The sequence below is a fragment of the Homo sapiens genome, chromosome 11 (genome assembly GCF_000001405.40).
Source record: "Homo sapiens chromosome 11, GRCh38.p14 Primary Assembly".
Classification (NCBI taxonomy): domain Eukaryota; kingdom Metazoa; phylum Chordata; class Mammalia; order Primates; family Hominidae; genus Homo; species Homo sapiens.
The window spans coordinates 120,111,286-120,130,405 of NC_000011.10; the positions used below are offsets into that span (position 1 = coordinate 120,111,286).

Below are 19,120 nucleotides of genomic sequence, written 5' to 3' on the forward strand. Positions count from 1 at the left end.
TGACAGACCAATGGTTTATTCCAAAGGGGAAAGCCCAAGCTGGATGTCTCCCTCCCCAACCCCTGCAAGCTGGCCCATCCTTCCAGAGCCCCCATAGGCCTGGGGCTGTTGAGACGGGAGATGTCCCCACTGTGCTGCTCCTGGTTTTGTCTCCTCTCCAATCCTTGAGCACCCTGATATGCAACATGGGGGGTAATCAGAAGGAGGAGGCAGCCTCTGATGGGGCAACGGCTGAGGGTGGGGGCAGTGTGTAAGGCACCTTTTGCGGTCAGCCCAGCCACACTCCATCGCCAGAGAGAATGCCAAAGTGTAGACTGAATGAAATTCTGTAGGCAAATGGTAAATGGTAGCTGGGCCAGTAGCTATTTGCATGGGTGGATTATATCATGTTAAGGGAATTCTTTATCTCAGCAGAGGGAACAGAGGAATATCTTGGCTAAGGTCATCCTGCCAGTCAGGAGAAGCCACCCTCCAGGGACCACAGACTCAAAGTGGCTGTGGTGGAGACCCACCGCCTGGGTAGGGTGATGTCAAGACACTGAGAGGTTTCCATCTGCAGTGGCCAAGGGCTGCAGGTTCTGCCATGCTGGGCATTGATAGGTAGGACGAGAGAGAGCACGTAGGGCCAGTCCTCTGGGAAGCAGGAGGTGGGCCATGTGAATGGGAGATGGGTGGCTGTGCTGTCCAGGCATCTGCTGACAACATTGGGGGATAGGGCCTTGGAGAGAAACGTCTATAGGCCTGGAGACAGCAGGGCGTGGGCGGGAGAGGCAGGCTGATACCATGCGGGTACTCACTGCTAGCCCCCAGATCCAGCCCGAGAGGAGGAGGCTGGCGGGTTAGGGCAGGCCCCAACCTATCTCACCCCTGTGATGGGTTGGCCTCTGAGCACAGGAATGATGGTGACCATCTGAGGTCACAAGGCAGGAAAGGAGTCTGAATGGAGTGTGGCCAGTGGGGAAGTCGGAGAGGCCGGAACTGCCCCCAAGAGGCTGGCAGAGGGCTGCAGAGGGCAGGTGCAGGACCAGGCTCCCTCCCACCCAGACAAGCACAGTAGCTTAGAAGGCAAGAGCAGCAGGGTCAGGAGGAAGAGCAGGGGTGTGGCGCCTCGTTCCTTCCGCCAGGAGCTCATGGGGCTTCGTTGGACCCAATCCCGTTGCCTTTGTTGACGTAGAATGGCCGGTAGTGAGACTGTGGGGGAAACAAGAGTGGTCAGCGAGGCCAGACGACAGATGAGCCTGCTAGCTAGACCCACCCTACCCTAACCTGCCTCAGGAGGCAGCAGTGATCCAAGACCCGACAATTCTAGGGGCCTTTTTGGCCTGATCTGCAAGATTTACCTACCCTGTGATCAGGGGCTGGTCCCTAATGTCAGGATCTCCAGATTGGAATCCTAATTGGAGTCCATTCCCATAGTTAGTGGGTGAGCTTGAACCTCAGCCCCCGCATTACACTGGTCGAAATTTCTCTCCACAGCTCAAGGAGGTTCCTCCAGCGCCACCACAGCTACTATTTATATAGCACTTTCTACTCCACAGAACTTCACAGCACTGTGTCGAGGGCTGTATGTGGATGCACTCATTTAATTTTTACAACCACCCAATTAAATAGATTACTATTATCATATTCAATTTATAGTTGAGCAAACCAAGGCACAGAGAGGCTAGGCAACTTGCCCAAGGTCACTCAGCTGGTAAGCAAGGAGCCAGAATCCAAGCCCCAGCAGGCTGCCTCCAAAACCCACACCCCCAGCTGCCAGTTCTCGGCATCACTTCTCTTATGGTGAGGGCTTCCAGGATTTTCTTTGCCTCTCTCTGCATAAATTTCCCTTACAGAAAGGGTGCAGAGAGGGTAAAGAACTGCCCCAGTCCAACACGGTCCCAGGCTCCCCACAGCCCTTTGCCTCTCTCGTCCTGTTCCTCTTCCCCCAGCCATTGGTACAGGGAGCATCTCTGGAGAGAGAGCCCAGTGACAGCTCTCCCAGCCTTCTCCATGTATTGTATCTCCCAGTAATTTCATGAAATCAGCATGCCCCACCCTGCCCAGATAACTTCATCAGGGCCCTGAGGAGGCAGCCCTCCAGGATGGAGTGGAAGAGCACAGCTTAGCTGCTGCTCACCCACGCAAGCACCATCAGCCCCCGGGGGTCTCAGGAAGAGGATTTGTCCCTGAGCTGGGTCAGAGACTGAGCCCACTCCCATGCCCTGCAGATCCCAATACAGGAGACATCATTTGCCCCTCACACACACACCTCAAGGGTACACTGCCTTTGGCCCTGTCTCTCAGGGAACTGACACCTCCTGGTCAGCTCCTTGCCTTTGTGTGGTCCACAGCAGGACTTGAGGGATGCTCAGACCTTGCTTAAACCACCTATTAAACAAAGGAAGAAACTGAGACCCAGGGAGGGGTAAGAACAGCTACTTACTGGCAAAGCAGAGCCTGGACCAGGTCTCCTGACCCCCAGGGGCCAGCCTGGACCCCAAGCAATTCATAGGGCAAAGTGAACAGATTTGGAAATGGCTGAAGCCTTTCTTTGAGGAAGATTGGGTCAATAATATGGGTTGCAGGTCAATGAATGGCATTGTCTGGTTAAAAGCCTGGAGTGGTAGGTGGGCATCAGGGCAAAATGCTACCTTCACCCTCCCATCCCCTCCCTGGCTTGAGGTCACAGCACATACAGCAGGTGGAAGAGCTGCAAAATCATCCTAATTATGGATGGGAAAACTGAGGCACAAAGGAATCATTTTTCCTCATGCAAAGTCACACAGCAAGTCAATGAGACAGCTGGGGCCAGCCCCCAGGGAAATTGATTCCCAGCTCAGCTTCTCTGCAGCCCAGCGCCTGTCTCCACTCTCCCAGTGCTGGGTGCCTGCTGGACACCAAAACCTTGCTCTGCCAGGGGCCTCAAAGTGCTGATGAGCCTTCTCTTCAGGGCCCCAGGCTCTGAGAGGGTGGAAAAGTATGTAGTAGGGAGGGGAAGGACTGAGTCTAGAACAGAAACCTTCTTTTTTCTCCCCATATCTGCTTTCTGCAGTCCTGCTGTTGCAATGCCCCTGAGTCCAGCTCCAAATTACATACACGATCACTTAGCTCCCATCCCCAGCAATTAAAGATCCTCTCCAATTAAACCAACCCCAGCCATTCTTTGTGGTCCAGGGCAAATCACCTCTCCTGCTCTGACCTCCAATTGCAAGGACAGCAAGAAACAAGGGCTCCGGCCCTGGTTCCAGCAGAGCTCCTGATGCCATCCACATGCCACGGCAGTGGCCGACTCCTGTAGCAGGGCCTAGAATGGACCTTCAGGAGCAAGGCATTCAGGCACATGGGGGCTCTGCATGTGAACTACAGTCCCCGATCACTGAGGTCTCAGTCAGGGTCAGATATGTCAGATCTAACGGGCACTGGGGATCATCTCAGTCCCCACATAATAAAAAGCAAGGAAGAGTCTCAGAGAGGGTATCTAATTCATCCAGGACCCCACCGTCAGCAGGTGGCCTGGACCCCAAAGCCATGCTTCCCTGTCATGCTGCTCTTCTGATATGCCTGGCCTCGGGTCATTAGATATTGACCCTAAATATATCTATTCCCGACTTTCCAGTCTCTCCCACCCCCACATTATCACCCCAATGGCCTCTATGCTGTCAGAACTGGAGAACTGCCCCCAGGGAGGTGGGACCCATCTCTAGGAGGAGGCCTGTCCTCCCACTGGGCTGTTTTACAATCCCAGAGCTGGCAGAACCCAAGCTGCCATTCCACTAGCATAGGCATCCAACAAGCATTTGCCAAATAAAAAAATCAAGGCTGCCCATTTTATAGATCAGAAAACTGAGGTCCAGAGAGTGTATGCTTAGCTAGTCCCCTGCCCATTAGCCCTGGGTCTCTACTACCCTCTGCTGTGTACAGGTATTCAGGCCACTGCTGCCTCCTTCTCCTCCACCCCATGGCCCAGAGAAGTCCTCCCACAGGCCCTGGAACCGATTGCCTCCAGGGAGCCCCCTTCAGTGCCCAGGTCTCTGGATGTGCCCAGGCCCTCCCGGCAGCACTTCCCTTACCAGCATAGTCTGCTTGCCAGATTTCCAAGTCTGGGGCTGGGCCTTGGGGCTTTGGCTCCGCATGAGGGAGGGATAGCCTGGGAAGACAAGAGATTCAGGTCAAAGGGAGCAGCGCTGGTGGTCAGGGGTGCCCGGGCCCAGAGCAGCACAGCTGCCTTCTCCAAAGTGACCACCAAGCATCATCCAGCCCATTACCAAATGCAGCCGTCTGAACACGCGTGCAGCAGCCAGGGTGCCGCAACCGAAAATCCTGGGGAGGCTGGCCAAAGGGAGGAGGCAGCAAAGCAGACAGAAGGAGGAGGAGCCGGCCAGGTGGGCTGGACCAGGCAGCAGGGGAGTGTTGCCCCCACATCCAGCGCAGCATCACACTGCTCTGCAGGGATTTCCACTCACCCACCCCGGAGGTTTACACCACGGGCCCTCCCCTTCCCAGAGCCCAGGAGCGCCACGCATAAGCATGGCCTGCCAGAGTTTCCCGGCAGGAGGCGCTCACTTGGACTCCCCTGTGCTGTTTGGACGATGCTTCCCATTCACGGAGCCCCACTTGTGCCAAGCACTGTGGAAGGGACTTTGTAGATGTCTCCTCACTGAGCCTGGCCCCGTATCTATGAGCTCAGCAGTCTGCCTGAGTTGCACAGCTCATAAGCAGCAAACCAGGTGCTGGGGAGCACCGCAGGCAGGCGGGGGACAGAGTGCCGGAAATCCAAAACCCAAATTCATGTTTTTTTCTCCCTGGCTTTGTGGCCCCTCCCCTGTTTCACTAGCCAGAGACTAGGGCCTAGAGAGGTGCAGGAATCTGTCATTGTGGCCGCCACCCAGGGTTAGGATGGCAAGCCCAAGAGGCCTGGAGCAGGTGCGCTCTCTGAGCTTGGTTGCAAAGATGCTAGTCTAAGACGGGGCCGCCTTGACTCCCTGCGCCTCAGCCCAGACAGACCTGAAAGGAGCTCTGGTTCACAGCACAGTGAAGGCACTCTCAGTGTCAGCCATCAGCCTGCAGGGACGCCTGGGAAGACACAGGCCATGACCTGGATGCTGAGGCCCTCAAGAAATAAGCAGGGTCTGTCCTGGGCCAGATCTCTGTCCAGTGAGAGGCTGCATGCGGTCTGTCTCGGGAAAGCCCCTCTCCTGCCCTGCTCTAAGCGAGGATGAGCAGGTCAGGCTCATGATGAGCACCGCCAGGCTGCCAGTTGGGTTGGCCCTTCCCAGGTTGGCACTGAGCAAGGAGGAGGGGGAGGAGACAGAGCAAAGAACCTGGGTCTCTTCCTGCATCTGAGGGTGGGAGCAGCCTTGGAAAGGGGGGTTCCAGGGATCCTGAGTGGAGATTAAGAGGGGTAATTCAGGCCTCATCTCTCAGTTCCCAGAAAGAAAATCCCATGCCAGCCATGAGAGAGGGGAGAATGGAAACAGGGGTGGGGTCAGGGTGGCCCAAGACACCCGCCTTGTGCAGCAGGCAGAAGTCCAGATAGAGAGTATGCTGGGGTGGCAGGTGGGGCATGCATCCCTCTCCAGGGAGCTCTGGGGAGAAGGGACCGGCACACCCTAGAAGTGGCAGAGAGCCCCCCATGTCCCACCTGCCCCGCTGTGGGAGAGAAAAGGGGAGGGATGGAAAATGGGCAGATACCGGGATTATTTTTAGACAGCCCACTGCGACCCAGTGGTTTGGAAAACTCTGCAGTGGCCTGTCCCAAGGTGGTGAACTGATAAGGGGTTTTCCCAGTGCCTGCTGGGAGAGAGAGAGGCATTAGTGGCACAGCGCTGGTCCCAGAGGGGCCAAAAGGACCCACACCTCATTCTGGGGGCTGCTCTGAATCACACCTGAGAGCGGCCACCTCCCCTGCCAGGTGCTCTGTGGGCCAGGCTTGAGCAGAGAGCAGAAAGGCGCCTGCTAGAAGCCAAACAGGCCAAGGCAAGTCCTGGAGCTCCCCAGGCCCGGATCAGAGCTAAGACATGCCCGGGGCTCCTGCAGGCTGGGACCCTCCACCCATAGTCCTGTCTCCTCCCTCTTGCCGGCAGCTCCAAGAATCCCTGTCCTGGGTATAGTATAGGACCCTGGGCCGGAAGGGACAACTGAGTGATGAGGCCTCAGAGACCACTGTTCAGGGGTCTCTCTGCCCTGCATAGCCCCTTTCCCTCTCCTGAGCCCACCCAATGTGCTGATCTTGACTTCCAGGCCAGATGTTTGGGGTGCCAGAAGAGAGACAGGGTTACTCCCACCACAGCCATTAGAGCTGTCCCTGGGATCTTTCAGGAGATACATGAGGGTCTGGGGCCCATAGCCAGAGTCTGGTTCAAGCCTGCCCCCTCAGGATGCCCCCAACCCCAGGGGACAGGAGGCGTCAATCACTCTGCCTTGTCAGAGTGCTGGGAGCACCACAGGCAGGCGGGGGACAGAGTGCAGGAAAAGAGGATCAGCCTTGGGGGGACTTAGGGTCGTCTGGTCCTGCCTTTCCCAAAGGGGCGCCTGCAGGATTGGATCTGCAGGATGCTGGCAGGTGCCCCATGGCCACAGGACCCTAGAGCCAGCCAACGCTGGGAGTTAAATAAACTCTGCAGTAGGAGAAGCAGCATCCTGAGGATCAGAGAGGTCGAGTGCAGGGGGTATGGCATGTCCCCCGGTCCTGACCACTGAGAGCTGTTGTTGCAGCGTGTAGTTAGAGACTAGAGAGCGGTGAAACAAGCCCTGGGAAACGCTGATGTGGCCCAGCCCCCACCCCTGCCCTCATTTTCAGCAAAGACCATGGCGGTAGCTCCCGGGCTCTCAGGCCAGGCCTCTCTCCTCCACGAGGTGAGGGAGGAACTAGCAGCTCAGCGAAGAGACCCAAGCAGGGCTTGGGAGGTGTGAGGCAGCTGTGGAGGAAAGCAGGGGCCAGGGTGGGCAAGCTCACCTTTCAGGGAGAAGGAGGAGCTGCCTTGGACGACGGGCAGGTCATTGTCAGAGTTCTGAATGCTGGAGGAGTACTCCCAGACCCGGGAGGTGTAGTTACCTGGCAGGACAAAGAAGGGCTGTCAGGCCCCCACAGCTGGGAGTGGGAGAGGAGGCAGGACCAGGACACAGCCAGGTCTATGACTCTCTAGCCGCTGGCCACAACTTAAGCCAGGATGCCACTGTGTGATCCCAGTGACGCCTCACCCCCATCCTTCTGCCACCAAAGCTATCTTTCTAAAATATAAAGCATAGTCTTGTCCCTGCCCTACCTAAAGGCCACTGTCCTCAGAATAAGGGACAAAGTCCCAAGAGCAGCCCAGAGCTCTGTCGTGAGTTGCTCCCCCAACCCCCACCACCCACCCACCATCTCCCACTTCTTGACTTCACCTCTGCCCTCCCTCCACCACTGGACATTCAAACCAGGCTAAGCCTCAGTGTCTGAGACACTCCATCTTCTCTCCTGCCCCAGGCTATGTGCCCAGACCCTGTCCTCTGCCTAGGACACTTCTCCTGCTTGCCACCCTCGGCGATTCATGGGTGGGGTCTTCAAGTGTCAGCTTACATGGCACCTCCCAACGTCTGCATGTGCCTTCAGCTTCATCCCCACATCGTCCTGCAACCCCTACCCTCTGGGTCGCAATTACATGTTCAATTGTCTGTCTCCCGCAGTGAGCTCACGTGAACTGGGAATGTGCCTGTCTGGCCCCTGCATCACACCTGGTGCCTGGCACAGAGCCTGGTTCCTGGAAGGTGCTCATTGTATGGTTGATGGATAGAATGCATGAACCAACGAACGAATGAATACAAACACATCCTAAAACTTGGGGACAAGACAGTTGATAGTTGCCAAGTTGAATAGGCTAACACATGCCTATGTGCAGACATGTTCTATAGTCCAGAGGAGAAGAAGGCAGTGGGAAAGGGGTGGGAGAAGCTGCCAGGGCACTCAGAGGGCACTGGAGTGGGGGGCTCAGAGTCCCCATGGGTGACGCACACTTCTCCAGCACCACACCCCCACCTGCCAGGCTTGAAGCATCAGTGACCTCCTTAGTCAAGCTCACTCCTTAGCAGCCTGTGGGGAGGGCTGGGGGCTGACTTTTGGGCTCAGGGGTCACAGATGGCTGGGGTTGGCCACCTGCCCCTGTGCAAAGCCCTCCCACAGGGATCCCAGGCAGCTTCTGTAGCAAGGCCTCAGTAAGCACGTCCAGCCAGGGTTCCGCGAGGCCAGACACCTTGCCCTCCTGTTCACTCATGCCTTTAGCCTCTCTCTCAACAACTGCTTCCTGACCCCCTCCTACTTTTGAGCTCTGGGCCTGTAGCAGCGAACAGGACAGACACAGCTCTGTCCTCAAGGTGCCCAAGGTCTACTGCATATGTGGAGGAGGGGTGCCGCTGATCACGGCTGTGAATCCAATTCTGGATGTAGAGGCCCAGGCATTGCTCTGGTGCCCCTGACCCTCCAGTCTCCATGAGTCTTGCCCTCACTGAAGAGTCCTCCAGTGCTATGTCTAGGGTGGGGGCTGACCCAGTCCCCTCCCTCCCTGTGCATGGCTGGCATGTGACCAGGAGCCCCCAGGACAGAACCAGGGTCTCCCAGAACCAGGTCTCATTGAATGCATGGCCCTGCCCTTGAGCAAATGGTCCCCTCAGAGCACTGGGCAGAGGGAGACCCTGAACTTAGCAGCTTCCCCTGGGGAAGCCACATCCCCACACCCATTTCATCCCATCTGGGTCTTAAGGTGCTGCTCGCTTGCCTCACCACCTGGAGCTCCAGGGCCAGCCCCATTTCCTGCCGTGCCTTCCTTTCCAGTCACAGCCAAGTTGACAACTAACCACTGTACGACTTTTCACTGCAGAAGTACTCAAATCAGTAGAGATTCTCTTTGGGTCCTCGTGCCCTCATACTTGTGGGGGGGGTGGCGCATTCCCCACACTTAAGCCCAAGGTGGCTGCTCAGACCCAGTTTTCCCCAGATCCTTCCTCAGGGATCAGAAGAGCACACAGACTCAGGGATCTCCAGGGATGCCGAGATTCCTGGCTGTTTTTCCTCCAGCCTAACTAATGGTGTCCCCCACACATGTACACACACACACACACACACACACACACACACACACACACACACACACTTTAAGCTCGGTAGGTAGGACCCCTCCCTACCCATGCCTGGACCCTCCACCCATCCTAGCTTCCCACATTCATCTCACACTGGGGTCCCAGCCCTGTGCCCCTGGACCCACCTCTATGCCCCTCCTGCCTGCACAGCCCCACATGAACTCTGTGCACCCTTGAGCTGAGCCACCACCTACCTTTGGTGCCATAGAGATTGTTGAAATTCTTCTGGGTGGTCTCCTTGGTGAAGCGGCCAGGAGACGAGGGCTGGTATGATGTCCGGACCCCACCTGTGAAGCAGATGAAGGGGGCTGTCATTGCAGAAAATTGTCTCATCAGGACTCCTTGCCCCCAAAAAGTTGCCCAAGTGCCCATCACAGGACCTGGATTCCACCACTGAGAGAAGTCCTTTGGGTCTGACATAAGTCAATCAACTAATTTATCACCCAAATTGGCATGCTTTTGAGAGTAGAAGGACTCTGTTAGTAACCGTGCAGAGAGCATCAGCATAAACTTGGAGAGGCCATGGCAACCACGAGGGCAGAAGCAGTAGGCTCTCAGCCACGTGAGGGTGGGGCCTCCTGGAAGTGGCCTAATGAGCCAGAAACACCTCCCAGGGGCCCACCCAGGCTGCTGCTTCCCGGGAGATCAGAGCCTCACTTCACAAGTGCTTTCCTTCCCGCACACCTGGGCTCTCACAACAGCCTTGTGAGGAAGCAGTGGGGACTGATACCACCACCGATACCCAGCTGAAAACAATGAGCTCCCCATGTGTATTCTAGCCCTCTGTTACCTCTGTCCTTCCCCACCTGACCCTCAGATGACACCACACCCCCATTTCCGGCCCTGCCAGTCCTTCCTGTAAGCCTTTGTGCCTGTGTTCCCTGATGCCCTCTGCCCTTCGCAGTCATGCTCCCTCTACTGAGCACAGGTTCCTGGAAATTCACCCCTCCAGGGAAGGAGTCACAGCCACTGTCAATCCCACTGACCTCAAAGCTCCCAGACTCAGGACCCAGTCCCTTTAGGGGCCTTGTTTCTTTCATCTCCTTGGTGATTGCTTCCTGTTCTCCCCCCAACTCCACCCTGAGCCTGGGAGCTCCCAGAGGGCAGATTTCCTGTCCCTCCTGTCCTCGGCACAGGCTACCCACAGTGCTTGGGCAGGGATGCCGGGGGAACCTGTTTCTTCCATCACAGACATCATAGACTGACTCACAGTGCAGAGCTGGGAAGTCTCCCAGCATGTGAGCACAACCTCCCCTCTCTTCAGATACAGGTACTGAGGCCTGCCCAAGATGCCCCAGGCCCTAGGCCCTCGGGGTGGCATCATAGTGGGTGCTGCTGTTCCCTCCACCCCCTCCCACAACCTGCAGGAGGCTCACACTGGGCCCTCAGTCTCCTACAGAGCAGGAGAGACCCGCAGGAGCCTGTCAGGGCACTCGATGGCACCCCAGGGCCTGGTCCATGGATGGAAGGGAGAGACAGGAGGGACAGGGCCAGGGCGAGGCCAGGTAGGGGTTCTGAGGAGAGGGGTGCTGGGGCCGGCACTCCCAGAACTTGCCCAAAGGCACAGCACCCCAGGCAGGGAGGAGGCAGGCTGGCCGGCTGGGGCCTGGCCCACACCAGGAATGTCAGAGGAGGGAAAGCCCAACAACCAAGAAGCCCAGGGGTTGTTTTCAAACTGGGTGGGGCGGCACAGGTGCTTTTCTGTTGAGCTCATCTCTCCAAATCCCCCAAGCCTCTCCCATTGTGTGTGTGAGTGTGTGTGTGTGTGTGTGTGTGTGTGTGTGTGAAAGACGTGTGTGAATTACTGATTAGCTCCCGGAGGCTTCCCCCTCCCCAGCCCCTGTGCCTTACCCAGGCCTCCCTCCTCCCCCAGCCTCCCTCTCCCACATGCACAGGCACACACCCTCATGGTCCGAGGGCTGGCACACCCACCCTTATGTAACGGGTATTGCTGTGGTTTGTTGCTGGCGCCCAAGAATGTGAGAGGCCACCACAGGGCAAGGACAGGCAGGCACTGGTCTGTGCTAGGCCGGCACCTTGCAGGCTGGGACTGTCCAGGGCCTGAGAGGGAGGGCCAAGGGGGCCAGGGTGCAGAGCCAGGAAACTCAGAAGAGGAGGGACCACTCTCCCTGCCTAGGGGAGCAGAATGGTCCTGGGGTCGGCAGCCATCTCACAGGGCTCAGCCCCTACAAAACCTGAGCCAAAGCAAAACACAGCACCGGCCTGGCAGAAGGGAGCCCAGGAGACCTCCGGAAGGAAAGAGAAGCAGAGGTGTGGGCTGGAAGTGAGAAGGCAAGGAGGGCAAAGAGGTGCTGCCTGTGTGGCCCGGGAGGAATGCCTCTGAGGAGCTGGCACCAGGTAACTTCTCATTCGAACCAGGACACTTCTGAGAGCTAACACAGACCTGTTCATCATCACATCAGGACAACACGTAGATGCCAGGACTTTCCCAGGCAAACTGGACATGCCATCACCCCCACTCAGAAGGAACCTGGCTGAGAGTCACTGCACGGACTTTGGGGGCCCCTGGGCAGCAGGAGAGACACTAGGTCTGGGGTGAGGGGCTCCCTCTTACCTTTGGGTGTCAGGTACATGGAGTATCTCTTCATGGTGTCCGGTGCACTCCACTCACCCCCGAAGCTGTTCGTGTAGTTGTTCACATAGCGATGGTCACCACCTAGGAAGCAGAGGGTCGGGTCAGCAGAGGAGCCAGGTGGGAAGGAGGAGCCAGCCACTGGGGACTTTTGGGGCTCAGATGAGTCACCCCATAGCCCTTCCCCTATCTCCCAGGCAGATCCAAGTTTCCCCAACCTCTCAGAGAATATGACGCCCTGCCCAGCATTCACTCGGTTCCTGAGCTCTTGGTGGAGAAGGTGTCTGCAAAGAGCCATCCACCCTCTTGAACTAAGCCCTTGTAAATACGATTGTGTGCACAACACTTCCTAGCACTTCACCTTTACAAGGTGCTATTAATGCCCATTTCTTATTTGATCCATACATCAATTGTGGTTGTATCCCCCTGAGACAGATAAGGAAATTGAGACTCAGGAAGTAAGAGAAGCAGCTTGCCCAATGTCACATGCCGATAAGGGCAGAGTTGGGGATTGAGCTCTGGCTCGCTACTTCCGGGTTCAGTCCCAGCCACTGCTGGCAGCCTAAGGTGAGGGGATGAGGTCCCAGTGTTGGCCTCCATGGCCCAGGGATCCAGGCAGTGGAGTGAGCTGCTATGGCAGGGGCCACTCAACTGCAGACCCCCTAACTCAAACAGATCTGCTGCTCGACACTTGACTTCCCTCAGCCACCTCCACCCCATTCCTTTCTCTTTCGACTTCCCCGTCTTCTACTTTCCCTGTCCTTCCCTCTCTCTCTCCTGAGCAAGAGGAGAAATGTGCCTGAGACCCTCATTCTTCATCTTCATCACCTGCGCCTATCAGTGTCCTGGTGCACAGCAGATACTCAAAGAATAAACAAATGCCCTCCTAGGTGTTAGCCCAGCCCTGTGCCCCACAGAGTCCAGGATGAAGTGGCCTGGTGTCTCTTAGCGCAGGGGCCTTTGAGGGTGTGGACGAGTCCCTGGTCTGGTGGGCAGGCTAGCATCGGGGAGGAGTGGATGGTCACTCCACTGTCTGACTCACCGGCCACCACCTCCTAGAGCAGACACACTCCCAGCAGCCACACGAAAAAACAACACAGAGGCAGAGGAGCCGCCCCCACGGCCCCAGGCACAGGTGTGGGCTACTGAATCAGCAGTGCCCATCCCTGCTCCTGCTTGCCACCTCGCCACACACCTCGTACAGGACGCAGGGCCACACCTGTACAGAGGCCGTGGCCAGCATTGTGACCTAGAAATGGGACAGTGAGCGGCCAGGAGCCTGAACAGTTTCTGCAAGGCTCACCCCACCCCAGTCTAGGCCATCCCCCAGGCCTGGCCGGACCTCACCGGAGGGGCTGCCCTGCCGAGTTTGTACCCCAGGGACGATGATTATCACACTCCTCAACCCCACTTCTGCAGCCACCGCCAGCCGCAGCTTCTCAGATGAGAGGGCATGGGAGACTGAACAGCAGAGTGTTCAACCCCGCCGTACCCCCTACCGAGCAGTGCGCCCTTTGAAAGGATGCTTCTCTGAGCCTCAGCCTTCTCGCCTGTAAAATGCAGTACACCCCACAGGGAAAATAAGGTAATGTGCGTGAGAAGCTCAGTGAAATGCCCGGCATCGAGCGAGCACTCAATCATTGTCAGCTGTCACCATCACCATTAGCATCATCACTATTGTCATTAGAAGGAGGATTTCGGGATCTGAGTGCCGTTTGAAGCCAAATGATTGTCTTGCTGAAATGGCTTATCTGTCCTTGTGTGTGATTGAATGTCCCCCACATTTCACAGGGACACCATGTGATATTGCCATCGCCAAGGTGCACAAATGGCCTCCTGAACCCCAACCCTTCTGCACACTTTTATCCCCCTCACCCCCTTCTCCTCCCCCAAAGAATCATATGCTGTGTCTGGAGAGCAATCAGGGGTCCTTTCCTTTGGGGTATTCACGTCTAGCAGTCATTAACAAGGCTGTACTCTCAAGGCCCCGTGCAACGCCTGGGACACCGGGTGGGGCCTTGGGGAAAGTGCCCAGGCTTCAGGCCCTAAAGGGACTGGGTGGAAAAGGACTTGACGATGTTGTTTCTCAGGTTCAGAGGTTTTCTGTGAGATGATTCAGTTGACCTCTGAGGGGACAGCATGACTCAGAAGAAGAGCTGACTTCAAGGGAGCTGGTGAGTCACAGAGACACTGTGTCCCACCGTCCCCAGCCCAGCTCAACAGGCCAAGTCCAGCCTCTGGGCTCAGCACTGCTCAGCATGGCCATGATGACAGGCAAGTCCTCCCTCCAGGCATGGCTGCAGTTCTAGGTCACGTCTGCTAGAGTCTGCAAAGCCACCAGTTTGGAATCTGGCCCATACTAGTGGCAGCATCCACACAGCTGCTGGGCTGGGCCCGGCAATTAGATGTAGATCTGAACGAAACCAGTCTCTGAGTTTGATGGACAACCCACAGAGAGGAGGCATTTGTGGAGCCAGTGCCCAGGATGTCCCTGCTCTGGAGGTCTCTTCCTATAGTTGCATAACTTTGGCAGCAAGTTCAAAGGAGGAGGAGGGTTAGAATCCCTGTATCCTAGTCCAAACGGCCTGAGGAAGGGTGGGTGGGTGGGTGGGAACAATGAGAAGAAGCTCACTGGAGGCCAGCCCATGTCAGGCAGCAGGAATTGATTTGGGAGAGAAAGGTCTATGGCCTTGGGGCCCAGCCACGAGAGGGGACCTACCGTTCTCCATGTGGTTCCTCTCAATGAAGTTACGGCTCAGGTCCGCCTTGCACATCTTCTCAACGTGGCGCATGCATACATTGAGCAGGTCGTCCTTGAAGTTGCCTAGTGACTGTCCCAGGCCCTCCCCCTCCAGCAGGACATGATAGGTGGGCAGGGGTGGGGGGAGAGAGTAATTGCTCATCAATGCACCAAATTCCTACCAAGAAAGGAAAGAACCATTAACTGCCTGGGTCTTCATGAGCTATGAGGACGCTTCTCTGCCAGGGGCTCTCACAGTGCAGCTGGGGGTCTCAGCGCTGCAAGCCCCACTCTTCCTCACTGGATGTTTGTTTCTTCTGTAACATGAAAAGGTTCAACTAAAAGCCACTGGATGCTAACATCCCTGATGGCACTAGCGTTCAGATGTGTGACTCCACGACTCCCACCTCTAAAGTGGGTGCATCTGTTTACCTCATAGGGTTTATGAGAGGGACACAAACTGCAAAGACTGGGAGTGAACACACTAAAGAAATGCAAGGAATTACTATAGAATTTGGGGTCAGCCATGGTGGTATTTCTTTCTTTCTTTTTTTTTTTTTTGAGGCGAGTCTCACTCTGTTACCCAGGCTGAATCTCAGCTCACTGCAACCTCCGTCTTTTGGGTTCAAGCAATTCTCCTGCCTCAGCCTCTCAAGTAGCTGGGATTACAGGTGTGTGACACCATGCCTAGCTAATTTTTTTTTGTATTTTTAGTAGAGATGGGGTTTCATCATGTTGGCCAGGCTGGTCTTGAACTCCTGATCTCAGGTGATCCACCTACCTTGGCCTCCCAAAGTGCTGGGATTACAGGCGTGAGCCACCATGCCCAGCCCACAGTGGTATTTCAACTTTTACACGCCATGCTCAGTGCTGCCTTTGCACTTCTCATTTCCCTTACTCCTCACCGAAGACTCTGTCCTCCCTCTCAAATCCTAACCGGCCTCCAAGACCCAGTTCAAACTCCACCTCCTCCACAAAGCTGTCTTAGCTTCCTCCAGCCCACCTGCCCTTCTCTGAGCTTCTACAGGCACTTATCTCCTGAGCCATATGCTTTATCATTTAATTACACACTTTTCTATATTGTTCTTTAATTGTACATGTCTTATCTTCCCAGCTGGATTGCAGTTGCTTGGAGGCAGAAACCATGTCTTGTACTTCTCTATTCGCCACAGCACCTAATAGAGTACTGGGCATGCAGTAGTATCTAAAACACTCTAGCAGATGGAAGGATGAATGGATGAATAGACAAACGGACTAGATCCAAGATAACAAATATGCAGCACTCCTACACCACTCCCCCTCTACCCGATTCACTGATCTCACAACTCTTTCCTACTGAGCCCAGAGCACTGCTAGCACATATCAATTGAAGTTGGTAAAAGGTGATATTTGTTTGCCATCTTGAGAGTAGGTAAAGAAATGGATTGGATTTAAAAAATTAAACAGAGAGAATGGCGCTTGGATAGATGGATGAATGGATGGATGGTTGGATGGCTGGATGGTGGATGAACAGATAGACGAATAGGTGGATAAGTGGATAGGTGGATGGATGGATGTTGGAGGGGGGTCTCAAAAAGTGGATTGTGAAATCGAGGGCTTGAGTGACAGAGGAGTGGCTTGTTACCTGCAGAAACAACACAGAGTCGCTGATGCTATGCAGCTGCTCCCGGGTCTGCTTGTCCTCATGCAGCACCTTGGCTCTCTCATCCAGAGCATCCATGATCACCTTCACTTGGTCCACAGCATCCTGCTCCCGCTGCTCCAGCGCAGCCCTCACTTCCTCCTTTTGCTTCTCCAGGTCCCGCACCAGGTCCCGGAAGTTCTGCTCCAGGATGGCCTTCTCATTGGTGGTGAAGCTCTGGAGGTCCAGAGTCAGGGAAGAGATTAGGCAGGGCTTTAGTTAGGGAAAGAAATCACCCTAGTCGGGTATGTCTTTAGGTTTCCAGCACAGGATCAGGGCATTCCCACTGCCCCAACCTGGCAAGCCTATTTGGCCAAGAATCTCATTCAAAGGCATCACTGAGGGATGCCACCTACTGACAGAGATAGCCAGGTTTGTTCACAGTCCACGCTTCTTATCTACCTGTGGCTCCTTCCTCTTGGTGGGTTGATATGAGCCATCATTCCCTGTGGGCCCCAAAGTTCTCCCATGGGTCACAATATGCTCCCTGAAACCCTAACCAGAACCAAACATTATTCAGAAAATGAATGTATATGTAGAAATGTGTATTCAGAAAATGAATGTGTATGCTGGCTGTGTATGTAGTCAGGGTCAAGCAGGCAGTGATTTCAGATTGTGGTTTGCAATTACCCAAACCATGGCAGACATACATTTAGCCAAAATGGCATAAGTAGAGAAGAAATGGTGTGTATTTGGTGGCTGGGGAGTCTTGTGGGCAGAACAGACATTGGAGGACATTGGAAGACACACTGGAGGAAAGTCTGGGGTCTTTACTTGCTGGGATAATATGAAATGGGCATTAGGTCACAGACAGGATCCCACCTGAGTGCCTGGCTCAGACTGAGAAGGGGAGTTGGTGAGAATGTCAGAGGAGGTGGGAGAAGCCAGAAGAAACATATTGGGATGTCTACGTGGGCCTGGGACTCAAATGGGAGCCAAGGCCTGCGTCTTTCCAGGCAGGCCAGGTCGGGTAAGGGAGCAGCAAGGTGAGCTTGGGGGCTGCTCACCTTGATGCGGTCCTTCTCCTTCTGCCACTTCTCAGCTTCATCCTCAATCTCAATGATCTTGAGCTGCAGCTGCTCCTTTTGCAATGACAGCTCCGTCTGCAGAGAAAGAGCCAGGATTGGAGAAGTCAGGGGGAGGAGATGGAAGAGAACCAGAGAACCAGGGAGCGGCTCCACTCAGGGGGCACACTCGCAGCCAGGGCTCATCACTCATCTATTCAGCTCTTCATTCAGCAAACATTCATCAGGACCTCGGATATGCCAGGCACCATGCCAGTCGCCAAGGATCTAGCAGTAAGTTAAATACCATCTTGCTGTATTCTCAGGCCACTAGGGCTGGATATCCTAGCCATGTCTTTTTAAGGGCTAAACCTCTGCCTATCTCCTCCACCCAGCAAGAGCAGGAGGGAAACTCATTTACAGGGTGCTTGCCCTTTTCAGTGGACCTGGGGACAATGGGAAGAGAAAGGAAGGGGATCCAGCCCAGCTCAGCCCAGCCCAGCCCAGGGAGTGTCTCGTGGCAGTAACAGTGTGCAGCGTTTCTATGGCATGACGTAGGGCTGTGTTGCAAGCAGCAGCCAGGGTTGCCGCCGGCGTGGACTCCGTCTGGGCAGGCACAGCTATAAAACCTGTTTATGGGAAAGGGAAGGCATTCTGCAGTTTTGGCAAGACGGAGACTTTTACCCAGGGGCTCTGGGGAAGGAGAAGGCTGGAGAGGAAGGCAGTGTAGAGTGGAAGAAGAGGTTGTAGGGACCCCTGCTCAGGAAGAGGACACAGACTGTTGGGGTCTGGGGTGGTTTAGGAAGAGGTTGTATCAGTAGCACACTGGGACATTAGCTTTCACTCCCATACTCACCTTTCATGTGGGGAAATGCCCTTCTCTGAAAAGCAGCCACAATAGAGACAAAAGGAGAGGCATGAAGCTAAGGCCAATCCCATCCAGCCAAGCCTCTGTTCTGCTGGGCTGTCCTGTAGGACACTCAAAGCCCCTTCTAGCATGGACAATAGGTGGATGATCTCCACCTGACAGAACAAAGCATCCAAGAGAGCCTTGGATTGCTCCAGATCTCCCCACTACCACTGGGTTTTGAATGCAGAGTCCCACCCCTTTCTCTGGCCATCACCTTGCGGAGCCCAAAAGAATAGTCAAGGTGAGGATGCCACAAACCTCTAGGAATGGGAGTCCCATCAGCCAGGAGTCATGAGCACCTGGGCACATGCAACACCATGCGGCACACCTTCTGAACGCCCCACCGGGCCAAGGAAGTGCTAACAGGGGACCTCCTGCAGGCACCCGGGGAAGTGGATCCGATGGCAGATAGAGCTTCCCTGGCTTTCCTGGAAAAGGTGCCCGGAGGGTGGGGAAGGCATGGGGCAAGAGCCACAGAGCTTCCCAGAGAGTCCTTGAATCCCTGGCCTCCCCGCCCCCACCACCACATTCCTGGACTCTCCAGGCAGGGAGATTCAGAGTTGTTCTCAGTAGCATTTGCCCCACCAGCAAACGGCCGGAAATGCCATAGCATGGAAAATACCATCACCAGAGATGGAAAAGAGGACCTAAGGAGATGAGGATGGAGATTTGGCCCCATCTCTGGAAAAAAGTCTGGAGAGAAGCCAGCAGCCACTAAATAAGGTGGTGAGAGAGTGGAAAACAGAGAAAGCAGGCCCACTGTAATGGCAGAAACTCGACCCTCACACTCTCTGACGATGCAGAGCCCAAGAGCCCAGGAAACACAGGCTGGCAGATCCCACAGCCCCAAAGGCCTCTTAGGAGGCTGGATTTGGCAAGCAGATCTGAGCTGTGAGGAAGAGTCCAAGAGAGTGGACTGGGGGTCTGTCCGAAGCACCTTTCTCATCCCTGGAGAACTCCTGAGTGAAGTCCAAGGTCAGGGAACAGCTGGAGACCCCCAACCTCCTGACCCAGCTCAGTGATGGAGGAGTTGGCACCTGGGTTCCTCACCCCACCTTACCACCCCGAGGACAAGGTCTGATGGAAAGGAAAGCAGAGA

At 55.4% G+C, this 19,120-nt stretch overlaps 1 protein-coding gene and 1 long non-coding RNA gene across 8 annotated transcripts in view, besides 3 other annotated features; one reads left to right on the forward strand and one right to left on the reverse strand.

The window, feature by feature from the left end:
- Window positions 1-19,120, reverse strand: part of TRIM29 (tripartite motif containing 29) — a 26,828-nt gene continuing 7,708 nt past the window's right edge. Inside the window, exons 1-10 of one of the 7 annotated variants that reach the window (XM_011542733.2) lie at window positions 17,419-17,568; window positions 17,115-17,210; window positions 16,051-16,284; window positions 14,406-14,604; window positions 11,669-11,770; window positions 9,288-9,380; window positions 6,938-7,036; window positions 5,674-5,775; window positions 4,053-4,129; window positions 1-1,191 (exon numbers count right to left, since the gene is read on the reverse strand). In XM_011542733.2, the coding sequence (XP_011541035.1) occupies window positions 1,129-1,191; window positions 4,053-4,129; window positions 5,674-5,775; window positions 6,938-7,036; window positions 9,288-9,380; window positions 11,669-11,770; window positions 14,406-14,604; window positions 16,051-16,284; window positions 17,115-17,210; window positions 17,419-17,421 (1,068 nt within the window). In that variant the 5' untranslated portion in view covers window positions 17,422-17,568 and the 3' untranslated portion in view covers window positions 1-1,128. Of the gene's footprint in view, window positions 1,192-4,052; window positions 4,130-5,673; window positions 5,776-6,937; window positions 7,037-9,287; window positions 9,381-11,668; window positions 11,771-14,405; window positions 14,605-16,050; window positions 16,285-17,114; window positions 17,211-17,362; window positions 17,569-19,120 lie in introns of those variants that run through there. The other 6 variants (XM_017017453.2, XM_047426689.1, XM_047426688.1 and 3 more) reach the window with 6 other exon arrangements.
- Window positions 12,390-12,897: an enhancer, noted in NCBI's record as "H3K4me1 hESC enhancer chr11:119994383-119994890 (GRCh37/hg19 assembly coordinates)". NCBI's record gives its function as "activates a minimal SCP1, AML or CMV promoter by ChIP-STARR-seq in primed H9 embryonic stem cells {active_cell/tissue: H9 hESC(primed)}" and the evidence as "EXISTENCE:reporter gene assay evidence [ECO:0000049][PMID:30033119]".
- Window positions 13,319-14,518: an enhancer, noted in NCBI's record as "CDK7 strongly-dependent group 2 enhancer chr11:119995312-119996511 (GRCh37/hg19 assembly coordinates)". NCBI's record gives its function as "activates an origin of replication core promoter dependent on BRD2, BRD4, P300/CBP, MED14 and CDK7 cofactors, with strong dependence on CDK7, by STARR-seq in HCT116 cells {active_cell/tissue: HCT116}" and the evidence as "EXISTENCE:reporter gene assay evidence [ECO:0000049][PMID:35650434]".
- Window positions 13,656-13,950: an enhancer, noted in NCBI's record as "tiled region #11711; HepG2 Activating DNase matched - State 22:ReprW, and K562 Activating DNase unmatched - State 8:EnhW". NCBI's record gives its function as "activates a minimal TATA promoter and a strong SV40 promoter by Sharpr-MPRA in HepG2 and K562 cells {active_cell/tissue: HepG2 | K562}" and the evidence as "EXISTENCE:reporter gene assay evidence [ECO:0000049][PMID:27701403]".
- LOC105369529 (uncharacterized) overlaps window positions 17,209-19,120 on the forward strand; it is an 11,981-nt gene continuing 10,069 nt past the window's right edge. The window contains exon 1 of the long non-coding RNA XR_948100.3: window positions 17,209-17,405. This is a non-coding gene — a long non-coding RNA (uncharacterized LOC105369529). The remainder of the gene's footprint in view (window positions 17,406-19,120) is intronic.